This window comes from Homo sapiens, chromosome 20, assembly GCF_000001405.40.
Source record: "Homo sapiens chromosome 20, GRCh38.p14 Primary Assembly".
NCBI classification, from domain to species: domain Eukaryota; kingdom Metazoa; phylum Chordata; class Mammalia; order Primates; family Hominidae; genus Homo; species Homo sapiens.
Genome location: NC_000020.11, coordinates 23,645,919 through 23,658,921, shown reverse-complemented (window position 1 = coordinate 23,658,921; position 13,003 = coordinate 23,645,919). Strand labels below are relative to the sequence as shown.

The following is a 13,003-nucleotide window of genomic DNA, read 5'->3' as shown; positions in this document are numbered from 1 at the left end:
CTTCAGGACTCAGACCTCAGTTATAGATTAGAAGAAGTTAATCACTTATGTCTTTAAGTGATTGCACACTTACATGTAGACATACAGCTTAGAAGTTATATAAGCTCTGGAAAACTTTGTGATTTTGAGTTGGTCTGGCGATATTTTCCTTGCCTTCTTTCTCCCCGTACCTGGTTACAGAAATAAACTCTATTCTTTCTCAGTTCATCTGCATCTCGTTATTGGGCTGAGAGAATAAGTAGCTCCACCCTTGGCTTGACCTGGAAACGTGTGTGTGTGTGTGTGTGTGTGTGTGTGCATATGTCTGTGTGTATGTGTCTGTGTGTATATGTGTATGTGTCTGTGTGTCTCTCTGTGTGTGTGTGGCCTTAACTCCATGCCCAAACACCATTTCCTAAACTACTAACTCTAACAGGGCTGTAGGAAGTTCCAGAAATTCCTTCAATTACTCATCAAGCAATGGAGCCATTTTGTGTTGTATTCTGGCATTAAAGGTGTTAGCCTCTTAATTTTTATTTTTACACAACTAAGTTCCAGGTAAAATTTTTATTTTCACACAAGTTCCAGTAAGTGGTAATTAACTGTTCGCCTTCATGACAAGATCATTTGGCCCACGCTGCTTGTACTATTAATGCAATCCTTGCACCAAAGTGATGAGTTGGAAAGGTAAAACTTGCAATAAGTGCCAGGGTACTCTCCTCTTCTGTTTTATTTGTCAGCTTTAAAATCCTTGGGCATTTCTGTGGCATCTATTTGTCAATGTCAGTGAGCAGTTAAGTTTCCCTAGAAGATACCTGATCACACATCAGAGAATGTTATGATGATGTGATTGGTTGGTATGCCCGATACTATCTGCAGAGGAAATCCTGATTAATTAATTATCAGGATGCCCAGCAGCTAACTTGGGGGTATTCATGATCTTCTGTTAATGAAAGCACACTATGGCTAACCTTTGAAGACACAGATTCTCCTTGCACAGCTACCCTCTTGGACTTAGTATATCTGGGTCTCAAGCAGACAGAGCCACGCCTTGCTGGACATAAGACATCCAGCAAAGTAATACTTCATTGGAAAAGATACTTATTAGGTTATGTAATACACACTCAAATAATGCTCTAGGAATCACACACCAAATGACATGAAGTTGTGTTCTAAATATACTTATGATGGCAGTAATGTTATTTTATTATGCTAAAAATTATTGAGAATCCCAGAAGTTCCTGAATCAGCAGTTAGGAATCGAAAAAGAAAGGAAATTAATCAGTGCTGTCTTTTATACCTGTAATGGGATTTTTTTTAAAGGTGAGAAGCATGGTACATTCCAGGGTGCTTGACAACAAATAAATAAAACCAAGCCTAATTGACTTAGGAGAAAAAAAGATTCATTTGAAAAGAAGCGAGGTGGTTCACAAACCTATGGGAACCTAGATAACGAGGCTTGGCAAGTGAGCGCAGACTGAGTGGGCATGCCGCTGCAGCAGGACCAAGGTCACACCTCACACCTCCCTGGTGAGCAAGCTGCAGCCCTGCCACCTAGCGCCATGGGTGAGGGACAGCTCTCAGGCCCTCCAACACCACAGCCTTGCACGTGGACATGGCATTTCCCCTCTCCTAGCCCACTGTCCCGTCTCTTTATGTAATCCATTCCCAATTTAAAATCCAGAATTGGAATATCTGATTGGTTGACCCGAAGATAGGTGTCATGCCCTACCTTCTGGGACCAGGAAGACAAGGCGTCTGGCTTCTTCAGCTTCCGTACAGGGGAAGCTCTGACTTTTTCCACAACATGCAAAAGGGGGGATCTCAAAGAAGAAGCCCGTTTAGACATGACTTGGCCCCCCAAAATTAAACATTAAAGCTGCAAATGTCCAGTCCAGAAAATTAAAGTAAAATGTTACATTTGGCTAAGGATCTAAAATATTAAAGATTCCTTCACAAGCGTAAGTTTGTAGAAAGGTCACTGGGCTGCTGTGAAAGGGTTGTTTTTTCTCAATGTATTTCCAAGAGATAACTAGGACGGCACCTTTAAAATAACTGGAGGCTTCAGAGTCATTAGTAATTCTAAGGCATTACTTTCGTGCTATCATACGAAACATAGGCACACATTCTGTGTTGTGGAGTAGCCGAATAGATTATTCACTTCTGCTTGTTAAGGGTTGCAGCTAACATGTAACTGGACATTTCGCCCACTAGAACTCAACTGTAGCCATGTATTCCCATTTACCGTACCTGTTAATGCCGGGTAGCCAAGCAAGAAAACTAGTAAATCTCCCAACGGGAAGCACTCCAGACCTCAGGGGCTGAGGGAAGAGCTGACTCAGCACCAGCAGTGCCGCTGCTCAGCCTGGTGCCTGCCCTCCACAGCCCTGACCTCAGAGCGGTCCCCAGACCAGCAACATCAGCATCCCTGGGAGCATCAGAAATGCAGAGCTCAGGCCCGCCCCGGAGCTACCGAATCAGAACCTCCATTTTACACACCCCTCAGCTCAGAGCTTGTTTCTCCCTGGATTCCATGGCCCTGTGCTGCTGGCAGCCCGGGGTTAGGGCATTTCGTTGTCACCTGGCGACGGTGAAGCCTGGTTTCCTCCAGAGAGATTGTGAGTACATGGGACTCCACATAGCGTTTTTCCCTGAGTTACATAATTTCCCCTCCCCTTCTGTGGGATTTATCTCCAAAGAAGCCCTCCAGGGCCAAGTGGCCAAAGGGAGGGGAAGTGCCTGCCCTTGCTTGGGGAGCTCCCAGCCCCTCCCGGGGAGGCCTTTCTGCCGAACTCCGAACTCCGAGTTGTAGGACCTCTCTCCTGCTGGTGCCCTCCTCCGCCCAGACTGCCCAGCCGCTGGTGAGCACAGGGCAGGGCCTGCCCACCCTCGGCCGGTCCTTCGCGTGCTCCAGGCTTGGCAGGGGGAAGTGAAAGAGGGAAGGAAAAGAACTGAACTTCCTCCCGAGGGGTGGGAGAGGTCTGGCCCTTTTCCAGTCTCTCAGTGAGGAAGTGAAAAGAAGGCAACACCGGCCCTCTCAATGCAGCCCAGGAAGCGAGGGGGCTGAGGGAACCCCTCCAGTCCTCAGGGGGAGCCCTGCCTGACGGGCTGGCATCCCTGCAGCCCCAGCAGCCAAGTCCGGATCACCTATGTGGGGGTGCGGGGGTGGGTGTCAGGCTGGGCACCAAATGGGCGTGCGTGGGGTTCGAAGCAGAGGAGAAACAAAAGCCTATGTCAATGCCGTTTTACAAAAGTGTTGTGTATTTAGCCAATTCCGGGCTGAGTCCTGGACCAAGCCCCATGTTCCGGTTTCTGCAGCACAGCAAGGCCTTTTCTAACATATTCCAGATGCTGCTCTCCATCCAAGTGAAGTGGCAATGGTGCCAGCCTGAGATTTCTGCCCTGAGTTTTAAGTACGAGAGTGTGGGCTGACAATAAACTCCTTTATTCTACCCTCTTCTGTTCTCATAAGGAGAAATTTAAATTCTGGAAGAGATGAAGCTTGCATTTACCCAGGCCTGTTAATGAAGAATGTTGGACTAAATTTTGAGAATTCAGACTGCTTAAGAAATTTGCTTCAGAATCCCCAAAGGATTCTGCAAGGAGCTAGAAAGAACATTTTCTAACATCAGTTACTTGTTTTAATAAACTCCTTCGGGGTAAGATTTTGATTCCCACCACTGATCATATCATTAAAAAGTGTATTCTCTGCACTAACTTCTTCTTCTCCTTGAAGTATCACCACCAAAACCCTGAGCATGTTTTGTCATTGATTTAGCTCTTCTGATCTTAGGACTTGAGTTTAATGTCACTGAGAAGCAAGTGTAAGCTGAGGGTTACATAAACGATTGCCAGAATATCTGGATGCTTACAAATAAAGATAGGCCAGGTTATTTTCCTGTTATTTGTACCGCAGTTGGCAAAGCAAACACGAGGGCCTCCCTCATTCCTCAGGCTCTGGCTTGATGCATGTGGGGTTCCTGGTTTTGCAGGGGTCCCTCCCTTCCCAGTTCCCCTATCTGCCTCCTCCTGGGTCTTCTAGACCCCTGTTTCTGCACTTGGCACACTTCCCACTTCTGCAGAAAAGGAACAGACTTGGTTTGCATCCCCTTTCTGCCTAACTGTGAAGGATGTGCTTGTCTTCAGTTTTCTGTTTTAATATTTATAAGACCGGGGAAATGTCACCTGGGGTTGTTTGAAGGTTAAATGAGGCAGCACATATAAGAGGACCGGGTGCAGGTAAATAGCAAGTTAGCTTAAAAACCTTTGTTTTTCTGCCCCACCCTCCATTCCTGCCTCTACCTCTTTATTCCCAGCCTTGCCCAATCCAAGTCCTCCCCACTCCCTTGCCCTCCATCAGGACCTCTTTTCACTAGTTCTCACAGTCTCGGGGTGATGTGGAATTAAATTTCCTGAACACTATGGTGGCTATGTTAGAAAGAAACCTACATAATAATAGGATGACCTTTCTGCCACAGCTCTCCTGGCCCCATATCTCCACACAGCCCTTGGACTCTTGCCTGGCCAGCGGGATTTGGGTCAGCACAACCAGAGGGTGGGAATGGAGACTTCTGACTTGCAAATTATGAGTAACATTTGCTGAGAGTTTGGCTTCTCAACACAGCCAGGTAGCCAACTGAGACCATGATTGGATGCATGTTGGAATTTGCTGCAGTGCTGGTCTCTATTACCCACCTGCCCTGGGGCTTAGAGAAGCCTCGCCTTCTGTAATGTGCATGTGATACACGTCTGAACTTGTGAGCCATGCCTTCTGGGATTTTCACAGGATTTGCAGCTAAGACTCAGCACATGGTGTTTTTCTTGTGAAAATGAAAACATTTGGTAAGATGTGGGTGTGTGTATTCTTAATATCTTAGTGCAATTGTTCTGTTTTAGAGACTTGGATCCAGGCAGTGCCTCATAGCCCCAGCTTAACAGCTGCTCCAAGGAGCACCTGAATTTACCTGCTACCTGTGCTTCTTGCTTTTCAGCTCAAGCAGGGCTTGGTGGGATCCCAAAGAAAACCTCCAGGTCTGCCCTGGTAGGGAATTAAAATAAATGCACAGCAGAATTTTCCCCCATCCTTGACTGCTAAATCTTTGATGTGACTTTTAGACTGAGGAGAGATTAGTCCCTTGTCTCATGGAGCTTGTGCTTTGACCTTTTAATCCATGGCCCTTGACAACTTCCTGTCTGACTCTAGAATCACCTGTGCAGGTTGAAAGCGATGAATGCCTGGGCCTCCCCGCAAGGAGTTAAAGCAGAAACCCTGGGGGAGGTGCCTGGCATAGCTCCCCACAGGAGTCTGCTCTGTGACTGGGGTGAGACCCTCTAGGGCATGGTCAGCCATGGGCAGTCTCCATGTGGCCTCCCTTGATCTGACACTGGAGGGGAGGAAGGAGAGGGTCCCGGGGCCACAGAGTGGAGGAAGGGTGGCCACCACTGCAGAATAAGAGAGCACAGATGGCAGAGAATGGGTGAGGGCCAAAGGGAAAGTAGAGGGAGGAGAGGCCCACAGTGCCTAAGAAGATCAAATCCTGAAGTGAGGAGTTCGAGACCAGCCTGGCCAACATGGTGAAACCCTGTCTCTAAAATACAAAAATTAGTCGGGTGTGGTGGCAAGCACCTGTTGTCCCAGCTACTTAGGAGGCTGAGGTAGGAGAATCACTTGAACCTGGAAGGTTGCAGTGAGTTGAGATCACCCCATGGCACTCCAGTCTGGGCAGCACAGTGAGACTCCATCTCAAAAAAGATCAAGTTCTCCCTCACCATAGTGCTGGAGGAGCAGCAGCCCTTGGAGTTCAGCTCAGCAGCATGGTCACCATAGGGAGGCAGGGCCTGGGCCTGGGTCGTGTGTGGGGGCCTTGGACTGGCCCAGAGTCAGCTACTGGCTCGCCCCTTCAGGGGCTCCTTCCTGACTCCCCTCCAGGGCTGAGATGCCCAGGCACAAGCTGCCACCAGCCCTCTGAAGGACACAGATCTCAGGCTTCTGACTTTGAACTGTTGCCTGGACCCACTTCCAGCCACCAGCCAGCACAGTTAAAGCCTGTAGACTTTGACAGCTAAAACGGAAGGCTGCCATTTTCCATAAGACCTTCAGGTCTTAAAAAGAGGTGTCCTAACAAAACATGCCCAGAATACCTTATATCTTGCTCAGGAAAAAGGAAGTGCACAAAATATTTTGTAGACAGGGATATACCACCACCTCCCTTGAAGCCCAGTGTTTTGGGACTCTGTGTTAGGAAGGAAGAGCCTTCCCTAACAGCCTGCTGCAGGCTGAATCAAAGAACACATTTAAAAGCCTGGAAGCAACCACAGAACAATAACATACTTGAATGGAGTCATCAGTAGACACTAAAACCACTGGGGGGAGTGACTGGTGCACAGGGTATTTTATAATGTCTCCAAGCATCTCCCCATAGGTCACTTATTAACAATAAGTATGGAGAAACTTATGGAGAAACCTGCAGACACTGCCTTAAATAATAATCAACATCAAGTCACCAGTAACAGGACAAACTCACATCCTGGGCCTCCTGATGTGATGCACTGAGGAGGACACAGCCTCACCCAGGCAAAGCTTCTGTCAAAAGAGTTGGCCTCAAGTCTAATCATCAAGAAACAAAAAGACTCAAATTTATAAGGTTATAAATTATGTAAAATATTATTATAAAAACAACTGTTCTGTATTCCTCAAAAATTGTCAATGACATGGAGGACAAAAACAGGACAACTGTTGTTCCCATGCACGTTCATTAAAGCAACATGATACAAAATGCAAAGTGAGATCCTGGATTTGATCCAGGAGCAGATGGGAAAATGTTGGAATGGATATCTTGGGGATAACTGGATAAATTTTTAAAAGAACTACTATTAGATAATTGTGTATTGGTGTTAAATCTCCTAAATCTGATAATTACGTGACAACAAGTACCAAAAAGCCTTTTCTTCAGAAGAACTTCTTTCTTTTTTATTCTTTTTTTTTTGGGGGGGGGGCGGGGTGGAGTTTCGCTCTTTGTTGCCCAGGCTGGAGTGCAATGGCTCGATCTCGGCTCACTGCAAACTCTGCCTCCTGGGTTCAAGCGATTATCCTGCCTCAGCCTCCTGAGTAGCTGGGATTACAGGTGCCTGCCACTACACCTGGCTAATTTTTTGTATTTTTAGTAGAAATGGGGTTTCACCTTGTTGGCCAGGCTGGTCTTGAACCCCTGACCTCAGGTGATCCATCCACCTTGGCCTCCCAATGTACTGGGATTACAGGCGTGAGCCACTGCACCAAGCTAGAACTTCTTTCTTAGGCAGAAGTATTTAGGGGTAAAAAGCCATAATATCTACAACTTACCCTCTAATACGTATATGTGTGTGTGTGTATATATATGTATATATATATATGTAAAAATATTTATAATATATGTATGTATATATAAAATAGAGAGAAGCAAATGCTAAAGTTGGCATATGGATGTGTATCACTCAGGGTTCAACCTCTCTCTTACGAGGTCTGTAAGTTGGTATATGGTATTAATCTTAAATTAATACCATATACCAACTTACAGACCTCGTAAGAGAGATATATTAAGAGATATACTGGCATATTTCATTTTATTATCCTTTGCTGACATTGCATTTTTTACAAATTGGAAGTTTGTGGCAACCCAGAGAGGAGCAAGTCTATTGGCACCATTTTTCCAAGAGCATGTACTCACTTTATGTGTCTGTGTTACACCTTTGTAATTCTCACAATATTTCAAACATTTTTATCATGATTATATCTGCTATGATGATCTGTGATCAATGATGTTTGATGTTACTATTGTAATTGTTTTGGGGTGCCATGAGCAGCACCCACATAAGACTGCAAACTTAATCTATGTGTGCTGACTGCTCCACTAACCAACCATTCTCCCATCTCTCTCCCTCTCCTCGGGCCTCTCTATTCCCTGAGACACAACAATATTAAAATTGGGCCAATTAGGCTGGGCACAGTGGTTCATGCCTTTAATCATAGCACTTTGGGAGGCCAAGGCGGGCAGATCACTTGAGGTCAGGAGTTCAACACCAGCCTGGCCAACATGGTGAAACCACATCTCTATTAAAAATACAAAAATTAGCCTGGCGTGGTGGCACACACCTGTAATTCCAGTTGCTTGGGAGGCTGAGACAGGAGAATTTCTTGTGCCTGGGAGGCAGAGGTTGCAGGAGTGGAGATCAAGCCATTGCACTCCAGCCTGGGTGACAGAGTGAGACTCCATCTCTGGAAAAAAAAGAAAAAAAGAAAGAAAGAAAAAAAAATAGGCCAATTCATAACCCTACATTGGCCTCTAAGTGTTTAAGTGAAAGGAAGAGTTGCACCATCTCTTCCACCATCTCTCACTTTAAACGAAAATCTAGAACTGATTTAAGCTTTGCAAGGAAGGCATGTTGAAAGCCAAGACAGGCCAAAAGCTATGTCTCTTGTGCCAAAGAGCCTAGTTATGAATAAAAAGCAAAAATTCTTGAAAGCAATTAAAGACGTTACTCCAGTGAACCTGCAAATAGCAAGAAAGTGAAATAGGCCTGGTGCAATGGCTCACACCTGTAATCCCAGCACTTTGGGAGGCTGAGGCAGGAGGATCACTTAAGCCCAGGAGTTCAAGACCAGGCTGGACAACAAAGTGAGACTTTGTCTCTACAAAAAATAAAAACAATTAGCCAGATGCAGTGATGTGCATCTGTAGTCCCAGCAACCCATGAAGCTAAAGCAATAGGATTGAGCTCAGAAGTTCAAGGTTGCAGTGAACTATGATTGCATCACTGCACTCCAGCCTGGGTGACAAAACAAGACCCTGTCTCAAAAAAAAGTGAAATAACCTTATTGCTGATATGGAGAAAGTATGAATGGTCTGAATAGAAGATCAAACCAACCACAGCATTCCCTTTAGCCAAAGCCTAATTTAGAACAAGAACCTAACTCTCTTCTATGAAGGCTGGAAGAGGTTATAAAGCTGCAGAAGTTTGAAGCTAGCAGAGATTGGCTTATGACATTTAAGAAAGGAAGCCATCTCCATAACGTAAAAGTGCAAGGTGAAGCAGCAAGTGCTGATGTAGAAGCTGCAGCAAGCTATCCAGAAGATCTAGCTAAGATCATTGATGAAGTTGCCTACACTAAACAACAGATTTTCAATGTCGAAGAAATAGCCTTCTATTGAAAGAAGTTACCACCTTCTTTTGTAGCTAGAGAGGAAAAGTCAAAGCCTGTTTTCAAAACTTCAAAGGACAGGCTGACTCTCTTGTTAGGAGCTAATGCAGCTGGTGACTTTAAGTTGAAGCCAATGTTCATTTACCGTTTCAAAAATCCTACAACCCTTACTAATTATGATAAATCTGTGCTCTACAGATAAAACAAAGATAGCATTTCTGTTCACAGCATAGTTTACTGAGTATTTTAAGCCCAATTTTGAGGCCTACTGCTCAGAAAAAAAAAAAATCCTTAAAAAAAATCACTGCTCATTGACAATGCACCTGGTTACGCAAGAGCTCTGATGGAGATGTGCAAGGAGATTAATTTTGTTTTCATGCTTGCTATCACAAAATCCACTCTGCAGCCCATAGATCCTGGAGTAATTTTGATTTTCATGTTTTATTATTTAAGAGATCCATTTAATATGGCTACAGCTGGCATAGATAGTGATTCCTCTGATGGATCAAGGAAAAGTGCATTGAAACCTTCTGGAAAGGATTATCCATTCTAAATGCTATTAAGAACATTTGCAATTTATGGGAGGAGGTCAAAATATCAACATTAGCAGAAGTTTGGAAAAAGTTGATTACAGCACTCATAAATTACTTTGGGGGACTCAAGACTTTAGCAGAGGAAGTAATTGCAGATATGGTAGAAAGAGAAAGAGAACAATAATTACAAGTGGACAATTAATAATTGCAAAGACATGGAACTAACCTAAGTACCCATTGATCAACGAGTGGATAAAGAAAATGTGGTACCATAGAATACTACTCAGCCATAAAAAAGAATGAAATCATGTCTTTTGCAGCAACTTTGATGGAGCTGGAGGCCATTATGCTAAGTGAAGTAAGTTAGGAAAAGAAAACCAAATACTGCATGTTCTAACTCATAAATGGAAGCTAAGCTATGGGTATGTAAAAGCATAAGGAGTGATATGATGGATTTTGGAGACTCAGAAATGGGAGGCTGGGATGGGGGGTGAAGGATAAAAAACTACGTATTGGGTACAATGTACACTACTCAGGTGATGGGTGCACTAAAATCTCAGAATTCACCCTATATAATTCATCCAGGAACTGTTTTATTACTATATTACTACATAATTCATCCATCCACTCATTCAACCAAAAACCTATTGTATTCCAAAAGCTATTGAAATAATAATGCAAATAAATAAAAACTTATTGAAAAGTAGAGCCGAAGATGGGACTGGATTGCTGCAATCGTATGATAACACTTGAACAGATGAGGAGCTGCTTCTTGTGGATGAGCAAAGAGAGCCGTTTTTTGAGATGGAATCGACTCCTGTTGAAGATGTTGTGAAAATTGTTGAAATGACAACAAAGGATTTAAACTATTATGTAAACTTAGATGATAAAGCAGTGACAAGGTTTGAGAGGACTGACTCCAATTTTGGAAGAAGTTCTATTGTGGGTAAAATGCTATCAAACAGCATCTCATGCTACAGAGAAATCTCTCTTTTTTTTTTTTTTTTTTTTTTTGAGACGGAGTCTCATTCTGTCACCCAGGCAGGAGTGCAGTGGCATGATCTCGGCTCACTGCAACCTCCGCCTCCCAGGTTCAAGTGATTCTCCTGCCTCGGCCTCCCAAGTAGCTGGGACTACAGGCCTGTGCCATCACGCCTGGCTAATTTTTTTTTTTTTTTTTTGTATTTTTAATAGAGACAGGGTTTTGCCATGCCACGTTGACCAGGCTGGTCTTGAAATCCTAACCTCAAGTGAGCCGCACCCCCTCAGCCTCCCAAAGTGCTGGGATTACAGGCATGACCCACCGTGCCGGGCCTACAGAGAAGTCTTTGGTGAAAGGGAGAGTCAATCAATGTGCCAAACTTCATTGTTGTCTTATCTTAAGAAATTGCCACAGCCACCCCAACCTTTACAACCACCACTCTGATCAACTAGCAGCCATTGGATTGAAGGAAGACTGTCCACCAGCAGAAAGATTTTAACTCACTGAAGGCTCAGATGATTTTTAGCATTTTTTACCAATAAAGTATTTTTAAACAAAGGTATATATATTGTTTTTAGATATAATGTTATTTCAAACTTAATAGACTACAGTATAGTGTAAACATAACTTTTACATGTACTTGAAATGAAAAAGTATGTGTGACTCACTTTATTGCAAAATTCACTTTACTGTGGTGGTCTGAAACAGAACCCGCAATATCTCCAAGGCATGCCTTGTTGTAAGCCATCGGCTTATGCAGTGGTGGTAGCTGGCAGGAACAAAAAAGGTAGATCCTCAGGAAGGGCAGCTGGGGCTCTCAGATACAAACTGACACTGCTGTCCACAGTCACAATTTCTTCCTCCTCAGGGAAACTGAGTTCTGTTTTTAGGGCCTTTGGACTGATTGCATCAAGTCCACCCAGGTCATCTAGAATAATCTCCCTTCCTTAAACTCAACTGATTGTTAACTTTAATCACTTCTGCAAACTACTTTGACAACAACACTTACATTAGTGTTTGACTGAAAACCTGGGGACTATAGTCTACCCAAGATGACAAATAAAACTGACCATCTCTTTTTGCAACTTTTCTGTAAATTGGAAATCTTTCAAAATACAGTCTTGGGGCCAGGCATGGTGGTTCGCACCTGTAATCCCAGCAATTTGGGAGGCTGAGACAGGTGAACTGCTTGAGCCCAGGAGTTTGAAACCAGCTTGGGCAACATGGCAAAACCTCATCTCTACAAAAAAAAAATACAGAATCAGCTGGATATGGTGGCGTGCACCTGTAATCCCAGCTACTTAGGAGGCTGAGGTGGGAGGATCACTTGAGCTCTGGAGGTAGAGATTGCAGTGGGCCGAGATGGTGCCATTGCACTCTAGCCTGGGTGACAGAGTGAGATCTTATCTCAAAAAGTAAAAGTAAAAAATGCAGTCTCAAACACTCTGCTACTACTTTCCTTTCTCAAGTGCCGGTAAGTGAAGGACATTGCAGCAGAGGAGTCTGAGGGATCCTAACTACCCATTCCTTGCAGTTTCAGAATTCTGTCCCTGTGGTTACTACAGCTGCAATTTAAGGAACAGAATTATTTTTCTTTACCAGCCTTTATGACCAACTGCCATGCCTCAGGCACCTGACACAGTGCTTCTCAAACTTGCCTATGAATCACTTTGGGTCTTGTTCTTCAGGAAGGAAAACAATATAAATCAAAAATTTGTTCCACATGAAGAAAACGAGAGCATTAGAGAAGGAATAAATGAAGGTAAAATAAGATTTTTCATTTTTATTGTTTATTTTTCTTTCACTCCTGCAAGCTAACTTGAACCAGGTTAATGCATTGGACATATATGTTAGAATGATACATTCATTCTCTTCCCCCAGATAAAACTTCTCTATGCTTTAATTTTATACTGTTTTCTTTGGCCCATATTCTAGCCTTCCCAAATAGCTATTTTCCACTTATTTCCTCTTTATCTTAAAAATCACCACGAGTGCTTCATGTACAGGCACGTGGCCACAACTACTCTAGTTACAAGCATGCAGGTGTTACACTGTGTGTCCAAGGATGTTTGGGCCCACTTAGGGACCCCACAGGCAAGGAGTCATGGTCTAGGAGGGGACTCAGGCTAACACTCATTCTTCTTTTCATAAAATCCTTCTCCTTGGATAAATTAGACATAAATTAACCATTACCTGCCTGACATTGGATGTTTCTGGTTCTACTTCCACTGGCTCTACGTTTCCTTGTTTTGAGGCTGACCTTTATAGAAAGAGTGAAGGAGGTGAGGAAGAGAACCACAGATCTGCAGGTGTAGGAATCAGTTTGTGCAA

General features: G+C 43.9%; 1 long non-coding RNA gene across 2 annotated transcripts, besides 1 other annotated feature; it reads left to right on the top strand.

Moving 5' to 3' along the window:
- Positions 991-1,490: an enhancer, noted in NCBI's record as "H3K4me1 hESC enhancer chr20:23638069-23638568 (GRCh37/hg19 assembly coordinates)". NCBI's record gives its function as "activates a minimal SCP1, AML or CMV promoter by ChIP-STARR-seq in primed H9 embryonic stem cells {active_cell/tissue: H9 hESC(primed)}" and the evidence as "EXISTENCE:reporter gene assay evidence [ECO:0000049][PMID:30033119]".
- Positions 2,378-3,696, top strand: LOC124904965 (uncharacterized). Of its 2 annotated transcripts, none has more exons than XR_007067748.1 (2): positions 2,378-2,597; positions 3,328-3,696. It is a non-coding gene; the product is annotated as an uncharacterized LOC124904965 (long non-coding RNA). The 2 variants fall into 2 exon arrangements; XR_007067749.1 differs by lacking the exon at positions 2,378-2,597 and adding an exon at positions 2,676-2,840.